Source organism: Homo sapiens, chromosome 6 (assembly GCF_000001405.40).
Source record: "Homo sapiens chromosome 6, GRCh38.p14 Primary Assembly".
In the NCBI taxonomy this organism is placed as follows: Eukaryota; Metazoa; Chordata; class Mammalia; order Primates; family Hominidae; genus Homo; species Homo sapiens.
The window spans coordinates 24,740,474-24,759,434 of NC_000006.12; the positions used below are offsets into that span (position 1 = coordinate 24,740,474).

At 41.3% G+C, this 18,961-nt stretch overlaps 1 long non-coding RNA gene and 1 pseudogene across 1 annotated transcript, besides 3 other annotated features; one reads left to right on the top strand and one right to left on the bottom strand.

Moving 5' to 3' along the window:
* The first annotated feature begins 1,831 nt into the window (after nucleotides 1-1,831).
* Nucleotides 1,832-11,487, top strand: LINC02828 (long intergenic non-protein coding RNA 2828). The gene is made up of 3 exons (NR_183315.1): nucleotides 1,832-1,873; nucleotides 8,523-8,675; nucleotides 11,090-11,487. It is a non-coding gene; the product is annotated as a long intergenic non-protein coding RNA 2828 (long non-coding RNA).
* Nucleotides 3,052-3,141: an enhancer, noted in NCBI's record as "active region_24157". NCBI's record gives its function as "activates an Ori minimal core promoter by ATAC-STARR-seq in GM12878 lymphoblastoid cells {active_cell/tissue: GM12878}" and the evidence as "EXISTENCE:reporter gene assay evidence [ECO:0000049][PMID:35858748]".
* Nucleotides 10,004-11,158, bottom strand: AP3S1P1 (AP3S1 pseudogene 1; annotated as a pseudogene).
* Nucleotides 13,398-13,608: a silencer, noted in NCBI's record as "fragment chr6:24754099-24754309 (GRCh37/hg19 assembly coordinates)". NCBI's record gives its function as "represses an EF-1alpha promoter that drives an FKBP-Casp9 reporter gene in an ReSE screen in HepG2 liver carcinoma cells {active_cell/tissue: HepG2}" and the evidence as "EXISTENCE:reporter gene assay evidence [ECO:0000049][PMID:32094911]".
* Nucleotides 17,361-17,562: a silencer, noted in NCBI's record as "fragment chr6:24758062-24758263 (GRCh37/hg19 assembly coordinates)". NCBI's record gives its function as "represses an EF-1alpha promoter that drives an FKBP-Casp9 reporter gene in an ReSE screen in K562 erythroleukemia cells {active_cell/tissue: K562}" and the evidence as "EXISTENCE:reporter gene assay evidence [ECO:0000049][PMID:32094911]".

Here is an 18,961-nt window from a genome sequence, read left to right on the forward strand (position 1 = left end):
AAGTGAAGAGGACACCCAAGTTTTGGTGCGAGTAACTGTTACGGACTGAATTGTGCCTCCCCAAAATTCATATATTGAAATCCTAATCCCTAGTATGCTTCAGAATGTGCCTGTATTTAGAGATAAGACCTTTAAAGAGATGATTAAGGTTAAAAAATTATTAGAGAGGTGAAAAAGTTATTAGAGTGGTCTCCAATCCAATATGATTAATGTCCTTATAAGAAAAGGGAGAGAAACCAGAAATACATGCACAAAAGAAAGGCCATTGCTGGGTACAGTGGTGCATGCCTGTAATCCCAACAACTTGAGAAGCTAAAGCAGGAGCATTGCTTGAGCTCGGGAGTCTGAGGCAGCAGAATGAGACCCTGCCTCTGGTGCAAAAAATAAAATAAAATAAAAGCCATGTGAGGACCCACCAAGAAGATGGCCATCTGCAAGCCAAGGAGAGAGAGTTCAGGAGAAACCAAACCTGCCAGAATCTTGATCTTGGACTTCTGACCCAGAGAACTGTGAGAAAATAAATTTCTGTTGTTTTAGCTATCCAGTCTGTGGTGTTTTGTTATGGCAGCCTGAGCAGACTAAGACAGTGACTAAGAAAGTGACCATGCCATGACCACAGGCAGGAAAGTGGGAAAGGGAGCTAGTTTGAGAAGGGAGGTGATTTTGAATTGCAGCACCAGCCAGGCATAGTGGTTCATGCCTATAACCCCAGCACTTTGGAAAGCCAAGCCTAGAGCCCAGCCATGGGAGGTTTGCCTGAACCCAGGAGTTCAAGACCAGCCTGGGCAATATAGTGAGATGCCATCTCTACAAAAAACTCATAAATTATCTGGGCATGGTGGCTTGCATCTGTAGTCCCAGCTACTTGGGAAGCTGAGGCAGAAGGATTGCTTGAGCCCAGGAGCTTCAGGCTACAGTTATCTATCACAGCAGCACTGCACTCCAGTCTGGGTGACAGACTGAGACCTCATCTCAAAAATAAATATGTAAATAAGGCCAGGCATGGTGGCTCATGGCTGTAATCCCAGCACTTTGGCAGGCCAAGGCAGGCAGATTACTTTAGGTCAGGAGTTCAAGACTAGCTTGGCCAACATGGCAAAACCCCATCTCTACTAAAAATACAAAAAAATTAGCTTGGTGTGGTGGTGCACGCCTGTAATCCCAGCTACTCAGGAGACTGAGGTGGGAGGATCATTTGAGCCTGGGAGGCAGAGGTTGCAGTGAGCTGATATCTGACCACTGCCCTCCAGCCTGGGCTACAGTGTGAGACTCTGTCTCAAAAAATAAAAAATTAAAATAAATAAATAAATACATATATACATAAAATAAAATTTAAAATTGCAGCCCCAGTGAAATATGGCGGCTCACGCCTGTAATCCCAGCACTTTGGAAGGCCAAGGAGGGCAGATTACCTGCAGTCAGGAGTTCGAGACCACCTGGCCAACATGGTAAAACCCCATCTCTACTAAAAATACAAAAATTAGCCAGGCATGGTGGCACATGCCTGTAATTCCAGCTACTCGGGAGGCTGAGGAAGGAGAATTGCTTGAACCTGGGAGGCAGAGGTTGCAGTGAGCTGAGACAGAGCCACTGCACTCCAGCCTGGGAAACAGAGCAAGACTCCATCTCAAAAAAAAAAAAAAAAAAGAAAAGAAAGAAAGAAAGAAAGAAAAGAAAAAGAAAACAGAACAGGCCTTTTTAACCGCAGAGGTAATGGCTACAGGGAAGATAATGTGACTTTGGAGTGAAAGGATAGAGAGAATAGGGAGCAAGGGAATACGTAGCAAAGGAATGGCAAGAGAAATAAAAGGCAATAAAAAGGGAAGGAACTGCTAGCAAATAGGACAGAAGCCAAGGAAGCCGAACATTTGAGGTATGAGAAATCTTTTTTTTTTCTTTTTAATGCTGTAGAGAGAAACAGAGAAAGAAAAACCAGAAAAGAATAATGGATTTAACTAAAAAGAGGTCTTTGTTGACCTTTTAGAAAACAGTTTCAGTGTTGCTGGGAGGATGGAAACCGCATTGCCAAGTATGCAGTAGATGAGATTGTGGATAGAGAACAAATGCAACCCCAAGGCATTTACCATCCATTTAAGAGCTTAGGTAGCCCACAGAAAGTGTGCTGGGGGCTGGGCATGACTATCCACGGAGACCTGTTGTAGCGTTGAAGGTAAATGGGGAAGGAACCAATGAAGTGGGAGAATAAAGGAAGACCAAGTAGAAGTGAAGTCCTCTGAAGGTTTGCCTAGGATGGTTGGGAACACCTTAGATGAATTTATTTTAGAAAGGAGGGGGATAAGACTCCCAGAGAGGGAGGAGGCAAGGTGGAGAGATGGCGTACCAATACACAGAAGTAGAAATTAGAATAATTGTAGGAGCTTGAGACTTGGTAGTGGCATACACAAGAAATTCATTGAATGTGAAGTAAGGGAATGGAAGGAAAGCTTGAGGAGAGAAAGAAAACCCATTGGTAAGATTATGAATTTCATACAGGCAAAAATTCATAAGAATTTCATACGAATTCGGTAAAAGATACCAAGCAATAGTAATACTTATTCACTAACAAAAGCTCAAGCATCTGTAAAACAAAAGAAATAACAAAGAACTAAAGACAATCTGGGCCGTTTACGAAATCCATGTGTGTGACCTTAAAGAAGCTCTTTCCCGAATCATTTTCTGTTGTTGCATTGCTGTTTCCAGAGTTCTGGAATTCTATGCCACAAGCTGAACATTAAGGTCATTGATATCATCTGAAGCCAGGAAGAGTCTCTGCTAGGAAGACTTTTAGCACAAAATCAACTATTCTCTGCTCCAAGTAAAATGTCTAAACTGTCTGCAAAGGCAAATGGCTAAAAGCTTTGACAGGAATACTTCGTTAAGTGAGATTAGTCATGACCTCTTAGTAATATAAGCCTGAAGAAAGAAATGAAAGTTGGAAGTAAAGATATGAGTCATGCTGCAACTTGGTAGCTGGCATTCATTCAGGAGCTCAACAATGTCAGCAGATCTTAGGCTCCTTCCTTCTGCTCTGCCAGTCCTTATTCTTGTTAACTCATAAATTCAAAATGGCTGCCACAGCTCCCAACATCACAGTTCAAAGGCAGAAAACAGGGTAGTCAGGGTAAAAGTCTTTATCCTTCTGGGGCTACTCTTATCAGGCGAAAGATTACCTTTCCCAGTAGCCCTGTAGTAGACTTCCCCTCAAATCTCTTTGCCATATAACTGACTACTCTTAGATGTAAGGAAGGCTGACAGAAGGACACAGAATGGCTATGACTGGCTTAGCTAATAATGACTCATCTGCTAGGGCTGGGTACATTCCCCAGACAAAATAAGGCAGTGGGGCAGGAGCAGGGAAATGGCTGTTGAGTAAGCAACAGTGTCTGTCACAGTGAATTTAGCCCATATACATATAAGTTTGGTCTTAATTCTGTATCAAATTTTGTATGATATTTTCTGGGTTTTTGTTGTTGTTGTTACTTTTTGAACACTTCTCTACTGGACTGTATTTTCTTTGTGTTTGCATGTGTGTGTTTCCTAATAGTTTATAGGGAAATAAATTTTTGTTCTAGTGGTTACCTTATAACTACAAGTTTATATAATAAACCTAATCCTCTTTCTTCAAGCAAAACCAGTTGACTCCATACTATGAACACTGACAAAATTAGCACACTATCACTTCCCTTTTTCTGCTGTTCTTAGTATTTATCTTCGCTTTTTTTTTTTTTTTTTTTTTTGTAGAGACATGGTTTCACCATGTTGGCCAGGCTGGTCTTGAACTCCTGGCCTCAAGTGATCCACCCACTTAGGCCTCCCAAAGTGCTAGGATTATAGGCGTGAACCACCACGCCTGGCCTTTATCTTTGCGTTTCTAAATATACTTATTCTATTAGGTTGGTGCAAAAGTAATTGCGGTTTTTGCCACGTACTTGATTTATCATCTTTAGATGATTTATTTCCATCCCTGGCTATTAAAATAATGAAATCAGCACAACTTAAACTACCTCCCTCTCTTCGTCACCTTTTCTCTCCCCACTATTGTTCGTTTTATACTTTCTTGATAGCAGGCGAGAATTAGAAAGAATGTAGGTGCTTGGTACTTTTACTGACATATAAGGGAGATTTTCTTGCTTAGGAGGATGGAAAGGAGATGGCTTTCACTTTGATAATGGAACCAAACGTATGGCCTGGTCATGAAGGAAGGACAAGCTTCTAACCCAAGGTTATTTTCATGAGATATGAAAGGAAAAATATCAGCTCCAGGTGTGCTGGCACAGAGTCCCAGCTACTCAGGAGGCTGGGGCAAGAGGATCATTTGAGCCCAGGAGTTTGAGTCCAGCTTGGGCAACATAGCAAGACCTATCTCTAAATAAATCAATAAATAAAGTATTCAGTACTATGTGGAACTGAATTTTGAGGAAAGTCTAGTAGGGGAGAGATATGTAGCTTTTCTTCAGCATCCAACACAGGATTTAAATCTGTGGAGAAGGTGGAGTTACCTCAGGTTTTTTATTTCCTTCTGAATGTCATAAGTAGATTTGGACCTAAGGCTGTCCAATTCCAGAGAGCAGTATAAAATGGGGAAATCACTTTTGCCCTAAGATTAGACTGCAGCTTTGGTTTCACCCTGCTTGTTCATGCAGTTCCTGCAGACGTTGACCTTCTAGACTGTCTGCCTAGACCACACAGGCCTCGTGTCTCCTATTCCTCAGCTCACTTCTTAAAATGGAACTTCCCTTCTCCCACATCTTATAGGACCTGCGTCACCTCTTTAATTGTATATTAATGAGCTCTTCTGGTACTCGACGTCTTACCTTTCTATTAGTGTCCACCAGCCTCCTGATTAGCCACACTCCTAGTCTAGTCCTCACCAGACCACCCCGTCATATCACCGCTTAAATCCCAGAGTGCCAGTTGAGAAAGTAGAAAGCCAGATGAGAATGTTGCTCTGAAAACCAAGAGGGAGATCTGTGTGTGTGTAGGAAGTTGTCCCTTATAGGATTGGCCAACTTTTTTGGTAAAGGGTCAGATAGTAATTACATTAGACTTTGCAGGCCCTCTAGTCTCTGTCACTACTACTCAGTTCTGCCATTGTGTCAGGAAAGCAGTCATAGACAATGCGTGAGCAAGTGAGCTTGGTTGTGTCTTGCTCTGTCGCCCAGGCTGGAGTGCAGTGGCTCTATCTTGGCTCACTGCAACCTCTGCCTCTCAGGTTCAAACAATTCTCCTGCCTCAGCCTCCAAAGTAGCTGGGACTACAGGCATTCACAGCCACGCCCAGCTAATTTTTGTATTTTTAGTAGTAGAGATGGGGTTTCACCATGTTGGCCAGGCTGGTCTTGAACTCCTGACCTCAAGTGATCCGCCTGCCTCAGCCTCCTAAAGTGCTGGGACTACAGGCATGAGCCACAGCGCCCGGCCCAAAAACCATTCTTAACTCCCAGGCTGTAATGAAAAAGAAGATGAGGCAGATTTGGCCTGTGGGTCATTGTTTGCCAATGACTGGTCTATAAAACTAAATGTTAAAAGCTGAGGTAAGATCAATGAGAATCATAATGGACAGAGATTCTTTAGTTTGTTTGTTTGTTTGTTTACAGAGAAGATATAAGATCCTTAATGAGCTCTACAAAAATATTTTGGTGTTTTTTGTTTGTTTGTTTGTTTGTTTTTTTGACACAAGGCTCGTTCTGTTGCCCAGGCTGAAGTGTAGTAGCATGATCCAAGCTCACTGCAGCCTCGAACTCCTGGGCTCAGGCAATCCTCTTGCAAGTCCTAGCTACTCGGGGATTGCTCAAGTCCTGAGTAGCTAGGACTATAGGCATGGCATGCACCACTATGCCTGGCTAATTTTTTTCTTTTGTAGAGATGGGGGTCTCGCTATATTGACCAGACTGGTTTCAAACTCATTCCTGGCCTCAAGTGATCCACCTGCCTCAGCCTCCCAAAGTGTTGGGATTACAGGCATGAACCACCAAGCCTGACCCCAAATTATTTGTTAAATGAGCCCTGTCTCATGGATTTGGGGATCTTACCATTTACCCCAACTCAGGCATATCCAGGTACCAGAATGAAAAAGAAGGAACACCTGAGCATCTGATCCACTCAGCTTCTTTGTCTTTCTTTCCGAATAAGCCAGAAATGCAAAAGAAACTGGCAGAAGATTGTTTTCTCTTAGTCTGGTCTCATCCGATTTATTTTAGCCTCAAGGAAGACAGGACTTCCACATAGTCTACAAAATATTAGAGAACTGTTCTTGGTCTGATTGTGCTTTATCAGTTGTTTGTTAGTTTAAACGGATAACCTGAGCTGATTTTTAAAACACCGATTTTACTTGGAATGTGCCAAAACTGTCATTATGCTTTTTATTATGTATAACTTTAATGACTATAGTAACTATCTGGAGAACACTGAGCAGGTCGTTATCCAGACATCCATTGTTATAATCATTGCCACATGCTAGACTTGTTTTTTTAAAATAACCTTTTTATTTTAGAACAATTTTACATTTACAGAAAAGTTGCAAAAATATTATAGAGTTTCCATATAACCCTCGCTCACTTTCCCCCAATGTTAACATTTTTACATTCTATGGTACAGCTGCCAAAATAGGAAACCAACATCGACACGATACTATTAACTAAACTCTAGTCTTCATTTGTATTTCACCTGTACTAGACTTTTGATAATAAAATCAGTGTTAAGTTGTTACAACTGGGCTGCCATTTTATAATAAAGCAGGCATAAAAGATCAGTAATTAGTTTAGTCTCTAAACTAAATTAGATTAAGAGTAGGTTATGTGACCAGGGGCAGTGGCTCACATCTGTAATACTAGCACTTTGGGAGGCTGAGGCGTGAGGATCACCTGAGGCCAGAAGTTCAAAAGCAGCCTGGGCAACATAGCAAGACCCCCATCTCTACAATAAAAATTTTAAAAAATTAGCCATGTATGGAAGCACACATCTGTAGTCCCAGCTACTCCAGAGGCTAAGGTGGGAGGATTGCTTGAGCCTGGAAGTTCAAGGCTGCAGTTAAAGGTTGGGAGTTCAAGACTCCTTGACTGTGTCACTACAACACTCCAGCCTGGGTGACAGAGTGAGATCCTGTCTCAAAAAAAGAAAGAAAGAAAAGAAAAGACAAAGAAAGAAGGGAGGGAGGGAGGGAGGAAGGAAGGAAGGAAGGAAAGAAAGAAAAGAAAGAAAAAGCTTATGAATGCTCATCTGACAAGCTAATTAATTTTCTGCATTTTACTGATTTAAGTATCCACTTTCTTACTCCATGTAGAGACAACAACAATAGGCCAGGTGCAGTGGCTCACGCCTGTAATCCCAGTTCTTTGGGAGGCCAAGGCAAGTGAATCACCTGAGGTCAGGAGTTCGAGACCAGCCTGAACAACATAGTGAAACCCCGTCTCTACTAAAAATACAAAATTAGCTGAGCATGGTGGTGTGTGCCTGTAATCCCAGCTACTCGGGAGGCTGAGGTAGGAGAATCACTTGAACCATGGAGGCAGAGGTTGCAGTGAGCCAAGATCGTACCACTGCACTCAAGCCTGGGCAACAGAGCAAGACTCTGTCTAAAAAAAAAAAAAAGGAGCAACAACAAAAGCCATTGCCTACTGATTCTTCTTCTCTCTTAGTCTCAAAGTCCGCTACTCCTCATCCTAGGCTTAATTCTTAACGCAGATGTTGTTTTCTCAATAGCGACATGTTCCCTGAAGGGAACGTTCACCTGCCATTTGGGTATTACAAGGAGTTGAATATGCTTTTCTCTTTTGATGCTTAAAAAATTAGATACAGATCTTTCAAGCAAGCAAAACAGACTAATTAGCTCTGTGAAGCATTATGGCTAGAAATCAATGTGTGTTGTCTGTATTTGACCTGTGAATAGGGTTTCTAATAGTCAACTTTAAATTAGCTGTAGAAATGGGGGAGATAGGACTTTATCATGGATAAATAACATCCTACAACTTCATAATAAAGAAAGACAACAGGCTGGGTGTAGTGGCTCATGCCTGTAATCTCAGCACTTTGGGAGGCCGAGGTGGGCGAATCACGAGGTCAAGAGATGGAGACCACCCTGGCCAACATGGTGAAACCCCGTCTCTACTAAAAATACAAAACTTAGCCGGGCATGGTGGCACGTGCCTGTAATCCCAGCTACTCAGGAGGCTGAGGCAGAAGAATTGCTTGAAGCCGGGAGTTGGAGGTTGCAGTGAGCCAAGATCGCACCACTGCACTCCAGCCTGGCGACAGAACGAGACTCCGTCTCAAAAAAAAAAAAAAAAAAAAAAAAGACAATATTCTGCTTCTTTCTCCATCAAATCTTGTCTCTAGGTCACTAACAAGCAAGATCATTTTTGCCTTTTACCTGCATTCCTTCTTCTGAATAGCCTCTGGGTGTGGTTTTATTAAAACTGCAAAAGCCGGAAGAACTATAACTGGAGGATCAAAATGAAGCAGTTCATGAAGCAGACATCCTCATGGGTTCTCTCACATAAAGAGTTTCTCTCCATCTTCTTACAGATACGTGAAATTCCGGTAATAAGGGACAAAATGGTTAAGCTCTTGATTTGAGACTAAGGATGGAGATGGGGCCATTTAGAATGCCCAGATTCAAGAGGCAAGTAGAAAGGAGAGTTGACGAAGGGTCCCGAGCAGGGACAGCTGGAAAAGCAGGTGAGTCAGAAGTGAACGATGCCCTGGCAGGAGGAACGGATTTCAAGATGGAGCTCAACAGTATGAAATATGCCAAAGAGAGGAGCCTGGCCTCTGTTGAGTTTCCCAGTCGTGAGGCTCCAGATGGTGCCAAGGTGAAGTTGTGTGGATGGCACACCACAGTCCAGTGAGGCCCACTGAGAGGGAGGAAGTAGAAACAGCAGTGTGGACTCTGCTTTGAGAAAGTGGGCTGTGAGAAAGAAAGAGACAGATGGTGGTAGCTGGAGATGAACATAAAGTTAAGAGAACTTCTCTCCTTTTTAAGAAGGCTATGTAAGGTTGCTAGAAAAAGGAACCCATGTATAGGAAGTCGGAAAACAAAACTAAAAACTCAGGAAGAGGGAGAGGAACTAGAAGAAGCAAGTGTCATAATGACTTTCAAATGGTTCAGTTTTTAAAAAACGATATACAGAGCGTTAAATAAATTTGTCAAGATGATGACAGTTGTTGAATCTAGGCAGAGAGTATACAGGCTTTCATAATAATATTCTTTCCATTTTCATATACATTTGAAAATTTTCAAAACAAAGGGGATGTGACAAATCTGTGGACCAGCCATATATGGTTGAAAATTTTCTTTTAAAAATATTGAGAGGTATCCAAATATAATGTGAACATAAAATTGCAACTGAAAAGTTATGATTAAATGTTCACAGCCATACCTAATCTAATGGACTGCAGATAATATTGTGTTATAGACCTATAAAAATTGTTTCACTTGAATTTTTGTATTGCAGTTTATTTAAACTAAGAAAAAAGGTCATGGCCAGGTGTGGTGGCTCATGCCTGTAATCCTAGCAATTTAGGAGGTCCAGGTAGGCAGATCACTTGAGGTCAGGAGTTCGAGACCAGCCTGGCCAACCCTGTCTCTACTAAAAATACAAAAATTAGCTGGACGTGATGATGCATGCCTGTAATCCCAGCTATTTGGGAGGCTGAGGCATGAGACTCTCTTGAACCCAGGAGGTGGTGGTTGCAGTGAGCTGAGATCGCGCCATGGCACTCCAGCCTGGGTGACAGAGTGAGACTCTGTCTCAAATAAATAAATAAATAAGTCATAATATTTTCACACAATATACACTTAGTTCTTTAAGTGACAATTGTCACAGATAGCAGAAAGACTTAAGGAATGCTGCACTTGTAATCCATACAAAATACCAATGTTTTGGGTGATACATAACGAAATATCACAAACACTTTTCAAAATATCATAGTAGCCAATATATAGGGAATGACTTTGGTGAGCATAGAAGTTTAGAAAAGAAAACAAATCACACTGGAACTATCTGATTTCTTTAAAAATCACTGAACAAGAAAAGGTACATTGAACTTCACATACCGATTTTATATAACTTCTGTACAGTACCTTGACTTAAATCCAAGAGCAAAAGTTAAGACTCTCCTTTAGTTTTGGTAAACAACTACAAGGTAAACTTGGATGACCTTTTCCCCTGGATTTTACTGAAAATAGTCTTTTACATTTTTTATCTAAAAGAGGGCAGGTTTGGCACTTTTATACCGATGTCACCAGTGTTAATGTTTCTTGGACTCTTGGGAGGGTTTATATTCTATACAGCTGATACAGCATGGGCTGCTAGGTTCCTGTAAAGCCAACCTTTGTTTTTTTCAGCTTATTTTGCACATTAATTTGTGTAACAAGCTCATTCTTGTTGGTCTCTGATCTGGTTTGACTCTGTGTCCCCACCCAAATTTCATCTCAAATTGTAATCCCCACAGGTCAAGGGAGGGACCTGTAATCCCCACATGTCAAGGGAAGGAGGTAATTGGATCATGGGGGAGGTTCCCCCAGGCTGTTCTCATGATAGTGAGTGAGTTCTCATGAGATCCGATGGTTTTGTAAGGATCTCTTCCCCCTTCACTCTTAGCTCTCTCCTGCCACCATGTAAGACGTGCCTGCTTCCCCTTCCATCATGATTGTAAGTTTCCCAAGGCCTCCGCAGCCATATGAAACTATGAGTCAATTCAATGTCTTTTCTTTATAAATTACCCAGTCTCAGGTATGTCTTTATAGCAGTGTGAAAACAAACTAATACAGTCTCTAATACCATTCTCCCAATATCATTTCTACAAGAATAATGTGAGCCACATGGAAGATGAAATCCAGTTCACATTTTCAAAAACACTTGCCTAATGTTTCCACAAATACTCAAATTAGATCTAAAACACCAAGTTCATTTTCTGAAGAACCCACACAGAAGACAAAATATGTTATTATGTGAGGTCTAGAAATCAGTTTGTTGTCCTATCCTCCAATTAATAATCCTTCTTCTAGAAACTTACAAACATTTTCATCTCTCTTAAATACCAAGTGGAAAGTCTCCCTGATGATTTGCTGTTGTGTGTCTTCACTGTAGAGCTGGTGGAACTTGGAGAGCTGTGGCTTCCTGTGGTTGTTGAAGGTGACGGTCATCTTGATCCTGGCTGGGCAGTGCTGGAGCAGCTTCCCCACCTGGGGATCTCACTGGCTATCCTTCTCCTCAACTTGGATGTTTAGTTGTCTTTTTATTTCTTTGTTTATTGTTGCTATTGGCTTTGTTTGTGGGTTTATTTCTTATTTTGGGACTTTTAGCACATAAAGTTGGAGATAATGAATGGGAACAGAATGGGAAAGAGTGGATATAATGATACACCACATACCCATCACCTACTTTCAATAATTACCTACACTTTCCCAGTCTTCTTCCATGTATTCCCCATACTCTATTGTCTATTTTTCTGGAGAATTTTGAAGTAAATCTAATATATCATACCATTTTACTTGTAATTATTTTAGAGGATATCTCTAAAGATAAGGGTTTTTCTCATTTAAAAAACACAGCCACAAGTCATCACCACACCTAAAAAATTTTATTGGGGTAAAGTTTTTTTGTTTTTTTTTTTTGAGACGGAGTCTTGCTCTATTGCCCAGGCTGTAGTGCAGTGGTGCGATCTTGGCTCACTGGAAACTCCGCCTCCTGGGTTCACGCCATTCTCCTGCCTCAGCCTCCCGAGTAGTTGGGACTACAGGCACCCACCACTGCACCCGGCTAATTTTTTGTATTTTTAGTAGAGATAGGGTTTCACCGTGTTAGCCAGGGTAGTCTCGATCTCCTGACCTCGTGATCCGCCCGCCTCAGCCTCCCAAAGTGCTGGGATTACAGGGATGAGCCACCGAGCACGGCCTGGGGTAAAGTTTTTAATGTCTTCAATAGTTCTTCATATTATTTTGGCTGAATTTTCTGATATTTTTAATTGAACTAATACAATATTGAGGAAATAATAAGTATCTATACTTACGCAAAGGCCTTTAAGAAACTGAAGTTTAAAAGGAAACACTACCTGTGATAAAAGATAAATAATGGCACTGGTGCCCAGAAAAAATAAAAAATTAAAGGAGTCTTTTATATAAAATCTTTAAAACATTTGACATGCCAATATCAGCAAGAGTGTGGGAAAACAAATATTCTCATAGTGAAGCAGTGAGAGTGTGAATTGGATAGTGTGCCAGTCAGACGGCATGTTGAAAGGGTAACTGAAGGAAGTTTAACAAAAAGATTAGTTATAGAGATATACTCAGGGTTAGGGGAACCTGCAAGGGCTGGTGAAAGATCCAGGGACAAGAAACTGCAGGAAACAGTTTCTACCCGATCTGACTGACAGGGCAAAGGGAGAGAGCTTTTCTTGAAACATGGTGGGGACTAGGTTTGGTGGCTCATGCCTGTAATCCCAACACTTTGGCAGGCCAAGGAAGAGGATTGCTTGAGTCCAGGAGTTTGAGACCAGCCTGGGAAACAGGGAGACTCTGTCTCTACAAATAATTTTTTAAAAACTTAGCTGGATGTAGTGGCAGATGCCTGTGGTCCCAAATACTCTGGAGGCTGAGGCAGGAGGATCACCTTAGCCCAGGAGGTCAAGGCTACAGTGAGCTGTGATTGCACCACTGCACTCCAGCCTGGGCAACTGAGAGAGACCCTGTCTTATTAAAAAATAAAAATATGTTTTTAAAAAAGGAACATGTGGACTTAGTAGCCACTGGGGAGGAGCTGCTTAATGGAAGCTGGCTTCTGATAAGGGAATGTAGCCATTGCGAAACAGAGGCCTGGGGCTCTTTCCTTCTGCCTTCCCATCTCCCACAGAGGTCCTGAATGGACACTGGATGCTAGAGATTTATAGCCTCCTGGAGTACAGAGCAGGGTCAGGACAGGTAGAGTGTGTATCTAGAGAGGAAAACATGATCCAACACAAAGGACAATTTGATGTTATCTGCCAGAGTTTTGAATGAACACCCTTGAATCTGCAATTCTACTTCTAAGAATTCACTCTACAAACTCAAATGTATGTAAAGTTGGAAAGTTTGGAAGGGAAGTATTTTATGTTCGTTGAGAGCTTACTATGTAGGAGCATCAAGCAAGGTACTCTCCATTTAATCCTTACAAGAACCCTATGAGTTTGGCACTATTATTACCCCTATTTTACACTTTAGGAAGTCAAGGTTGGTAAAGCTCAGACATTTACCCGTGCTCACAGTTAATAAGTGACAGCACAGGTATTTAAACCCAGACAATCTGACTCCAGTATCTGAGCTACAAGGAAGTTCATAGCAGCATTGTTTGTGGAAAAAAATAGACTGAATACAAACTTAAATAACTGTGGTTTGGGGATCTGGTAAATAAATTATGGCACATCTACACAGTGGAATACTATGCAGCTTAAAAAATGGAATAGGCCAGGTGTGGTGGTGCACACCTGTAGTCCCAGCTACTTGGAAGGCTGAGGCAGGAGGATCACCTGTGCCCAGGAATTGGACACCAGTCTGGGCAACATAGCGAAACCCCATGTCTCTAGAGGGAAACAAAACAAAACCGAAGAATGGAATAGATCTACATATACTGATAGGGAAATGTCTCCAAGATACCCATGTGGGGAGGAAAAGGTGCAGAGCATTGTGCAGTCCATGCACCCATTAGTACATAAAAATGAAAGGTGCATTTTAATTTAATCTCTCAGCAGAAGGACTGATAATTAAGGGACAATTTTTCAGTGTATACCTTTTAGCATTGTTTTAATATGTGTATTACTTTGCAATGAATACATGTAATTAAATAAAAAGCCACATACATACACATACAAATGTGTGTAAAGTGTCCGGAACAGAATAATAACAGCTAACATTTATTGAGCACTGTTGTAAATTTTTATATGTATTATCTCGTTGAGTTATTCAAAAGAGCTCTATTAAGTAGGTATTATTCTTACCACCTTGTATTGGTCTGTTTTCATGCTGCTGATAAAGACATACCTGAGACTGGGGAATTTACAAAAGAAAGAGGTTTATTGGACTTACAGTGCTACATGACTGGGGAGGCCTCATAATCATGGTGGAAGGTGAAAGGCACGTCTCACATGGTGGCAGACAAGAGAAGAGAGCTTGTACAGGGAAACATTCCCTTATAATACCATCAGATCTCGTGAGACCCATTCACTATCACGAGAACAGCATGGGAAAGATCTGCCCCCATGATTCAATCACCTCCCACTGGGTCCCTCCCATGAGATGTGGGAATTCAAGATGAGATTTGGGTGGGGACACAGCCAAATCATATCACCCTGATTTTAAAAATGGAGGAATGTGGTCACAAAGAGATGAAAGAATTTGTCCAGTGTCACCCAGCCAGTCTAGCTCCAGAGCCAGTGCTCATAATTCCCTCTCAATAAATGACTACTATTGTTTTTAATGATTTGTCCAAAGCAGTATTAACTTTTTCAACAGCTGCATTGTAGAGCTGGTTCCTTTTAATGCATAATCAATGAAAACTTTAGTTTTTTCCATCCTATACTTCATCTTCATTTCAAAAAGAAACTTTAAGTTTTTTGTTTGTTTTATGAGTTGCAACCAAGCCTGGTCACTACCCCTCTGGTTTTCAGAAAAAACAAAAAAAAACAAACAATAAAAAAAAATTGTTTTAATCTAAAAATATCCTTTACATTTATTCTAGTCAAAATGTCAACCTGTTGACATTTGAGACTGAGATTCCAGCCTGTGGAGGTAATTGTGAATCTTTAGTGAAGCCATTATATTAGCTATCCCTCCTAGTTTTGGGTAATCTTTAAACCTGATAAGCATGCCTCTGTGCCAGCATATAAATTACTGGTAATGTTGCCAAACAGGACAGTGATAGGGCAGAGCTTTGTGAGATGTCACAGAGACTCTTGGTCAAGTTGTTCTTGATGTATCAATTCATTAACCCTGTTCAGATTGTCCAAACTGCTGAGTCACCTATCACATTTCTTCATCTTGTCTCCAAGGACAACATGATAAGTTTTGCTCACCATTTTGCTGGAATTATTTCTGTTATTCATTGATTTACCACCATAACTGTGCCTCCCTACCCACCCCCCAGCCATTTTTTTTTAAAAAAGAGTCTCAATTGAAAGGGTTTGCTCACAGAACATATAGGGTGGCTTCTATTATCATCTCATCTTACATAAGTCCTTGCAAAGTGCTTGTACAGTGGTGTTTGTTCACAATTTACCAACAGCCAATTCCAAGTTTACTAATTCCAATTTTGATTAAACTTTCTTCTCTTTTTAAAAATTTTTGAGGGCTGGGAGTGGTGGCTCATGCCCATAATCCCAGCACTTTGGGAGGCTGAGGTAGGCAGATCACAAGGTCAACAGATCGAGACCATCCTGGCCAACATAATGAAAACCCATCTCTATTAAAAATACAAAAATTAGCTGGGCATGGTGGCACGTGCCTGTAATCCCAGCTACTCAGGAGGCTGAGGCAGGAGAATCACTTGAACCTGGGAGGCGGAGGCTATAGTGAGCTGAGATCGCACCACTGTACTCCAGCCTGGGCCACACAGCAAGACTCAGTCTCAAAAAAAACAATGTTGAGTTTTTCCCCCTCAGTCTTTTGGTTTCTCTTTATGTGTCCTATAATTTCTCAGAATAATTATGGTGACCCAGAGCACATATACCTATTTCTTTAGTATTCTAGGTGTTACCAGAAAGGGGTCCCTGATCCAGACCCCAAGAGAGGGTTCTTAGATCTCATGTGAGAAAGAATTTGGGGCGAGTCAACACAGTATAGGGAAAGCAAGTTTGTTAAGTAAAGGAATAAAAGAATGTGTCCATAGACACAGCAACAGCGTGGGCTGCTTGACTAACTATACTTTTAGTATTTCTTGATTATATGCTAAACAAGGGGTGGATTATTCATGAGTTTTCTAGGAAAGGGGTGGGCAGTTCCCAGAGCTGAGGGCTCCTCCCCTTTTTAGACCATATGAGGTAACTACTTCACGTTGCCATGGCATTTGTAAACTGTTATGGCGCTGGTGGGTGTGTATTTTAGCATGCTAATGCATTATAATTAGCTTATAATAAGCAATGAGGACCACCAGAGGTCACTGTCATCGCCATCTTGGTTTCGGTGGGTTTTAGCCCGCTTCTTTATCACATGTTGTTTTATCAGCAACGTCTTTGTGACCTATATCTTGTGCTGGCCTCCTATCTCATCCTATGACTTAGAGTGCCTAACCTCCTGGAATGAAGTCCAGTAAGATTCAGCTTTACTTTACCCAGGCCCTATTCAAGATGGAGTTGCTCTGGTTCAAATGCCTCTGGTGTAGGGCTGTGTTTTGTCTAGTTCTAGACACTTAAATTCATTTTTCAAATATCTGCATTGTTATTTGATACTCTTATATACTCTTTTTTTTTTTTTTTTTTTTTTTTTGAGATGATGGGAGTCTCGCTCTGTCACCCAGGCTGGAGTGCACTGGCTCCATATCAGCTCACTGCAACTTCCACCTCCTGGGTTTAAGCGATTCTCCTGCCTCAGCCTCCTGAGTAACTTGGATTACAAGCGCCTGCCACCATGCCCAGCTAATTTTTGTATTTTTAGTAGAGACGGAGTTTCTCCATGTTGGCCAGGCTGGTCTTGAACTCCCGACCTCAAGTGATCCGCCTGCCTTGGCCTCCCAAAGTGCTGGGATTACAGGTGTGAGCCATCACACCTGGCCTATTCTTATATACTCGTTTATTGAGTTTCAATTTTTTTCTTTGCTAAAACTGCAGATTACTAAATATTGCTTTATAAAAAAGATGAAGGAAAATAAATGGTTATTTTCCTTGCTCATTGTTATCTCTTAGCATTTATGCTAACTGCATCAAAACAGCAGAGAATACTGCTCATCCTGTTTATTTTTTAAAATTCAAATGTAATTCAAATGTAGTTTTAAAAGCCCTTTCCCTCACAGTAGGTTGAAGAAGAAACAAGAGAAAGTCTTTCTTTTCCAATCTCCATCTTTGCTCCTGTCCTAGAAGAGGCGCCGCTAATCTGATTAGGTTCTAAAACAGTGAATGGCACACTTCTGCTACAGTGAGAGGTCACTAAAGTGCACTTTTCCCTTTTACTTCTCCTGGGACAGCAGGTGCCTTCTAGGCAGAGACATTTGCTCTTTTTTCTCTCCTCTATTTCTCTAAACCTTCAGGAATCCTCAATTCTGCTGGGCAGAAAGACTCTACTTATGTCCTGAGCCTAAATTTTGTGCTGCAGCATAGCTTAACCAGGATCCCTAAAGAGGCAGTTACAGGAACCTACTTGAAAATAAAGGGGAACCTGCTATGGTGTCTTACATGCTGTTATATCTTGCAAACCTCCTTCTAGAACCTCAAAGGAAGTGGAGATGGCTGGGCCGAGGCAGGATTTGGGCATTCTTGAGTCCCCAGCCGAGGGCGTCTGTCGACGAAAAGAGTCAAACTCCGTAAAATATTTGAAGAGATTTATTCTGAGCCAAATATGAGTGACCATGTCCTGTGACACAGTCCTTCCTCAGGAGGCCCTGAGAACATGTGCCCAAGGTGGTCGGGGCACAGCTTGGTTTTATACATTTCAGGGAGGTGTGAGACATCAATCAAATACATTAAAGCTATACATTGGTTCTGTCCAGAAAGATGGTACATCTCAAAAGCAGTGGTGGAAACCAAAAGTTTTATCAGGCAGATGAAGCCTCCAGGTAGCAGGCTTCAGAGAGAATAGATTCTAACTGTTTCTTATCAGACTTAAGGTCTGTGTTGATATTAATGGCAGAGAGGTGTAATGAGGCATGTCTAACCCTCACTTTCTGTCATGGCCTGAACCAGTCCTTCAGGTTGAATTTTAGAGTGCCCTGGCTTAGGAGGCCATTCAGATGGTTGGGGGGCCTTGGAATTTATTTTTGGTTTACACCTCCTTCATGAGCATGTGAACTGAGCTATCGCTCAGAAGTCCCCATACAATGCTCTGCTGTTGCCATCTTGAAGTTATCAATATTTTTTGCTTAACAAGGGGACCCAAATTTTTATTTTGCACTGGGTTCCAAAAATTATGCGGCCAGTGCTAACCTAATCCTAATAATTAACTGCACTCAATCCTACCATTACTTCTAAAAAACACTTCCTTTTAAGGAGGAAGATTTAAGTTTCAGTTTGTTCTTGGTTTTAGCTTTTCAAACACTGTTCATGTAGGTTTTGGGAAATATACTCTTTCTTTCATCTTTTGTATAAACCTTTTACATTTCTGAACTCCTAAGAAAACTTTGTACTCACATTGAGATTTTTCAAAATTTAAACTAGAGCTTGCTTTTCTAATTTTCTTAAACACTTTTGGAGTCTTAAGTCATGGGGTAGATTTTGCTTCTTTTCATTGAATTTTTAAAATCTGTTTGCCAAAGGTGTACTTCATACCTAACTCATAAATTCCCAAAAGAAAATGCATTGAGCAAATATATAACACAAATAAGAAATCATGTAATTTCCCCTAATTTTCCCTTCATCTGAAGGTACCTGTCTTAGTTATTTTCATAAGTCTATGTAGCTACACCTTGCTTGCCACTAGAACTCCCTCTTCATTCAGGTAGGAGGAAAATGATTCACAAACCAATTTCTAAATTATTTATCCAGTCTTTCTCAAGAAAATAGCCTTTCTTGGAATGGTAGAAAGTAACTTTACTTGGCCAGATGCAGTGGCTCACACCTACAATCCCAGTACCTTGGGAGGCTGAGGTGGCAGATCACTTGAGGTCACAAATTTGAGACCAGCCTGGCCAACATGGCAAAACCCTGTCTCTACTAAAAATACAAAAATTAGCCCGGTGTCATGGGCGTGCCTATAATCCCAGCTGCTTAGGAGGCTGAGGTAGGAGAATTGTTTGAACCCTGGAGGTGGAGGTTGCAGTGAGCCGAGATCCAGCCATAGTACAAGT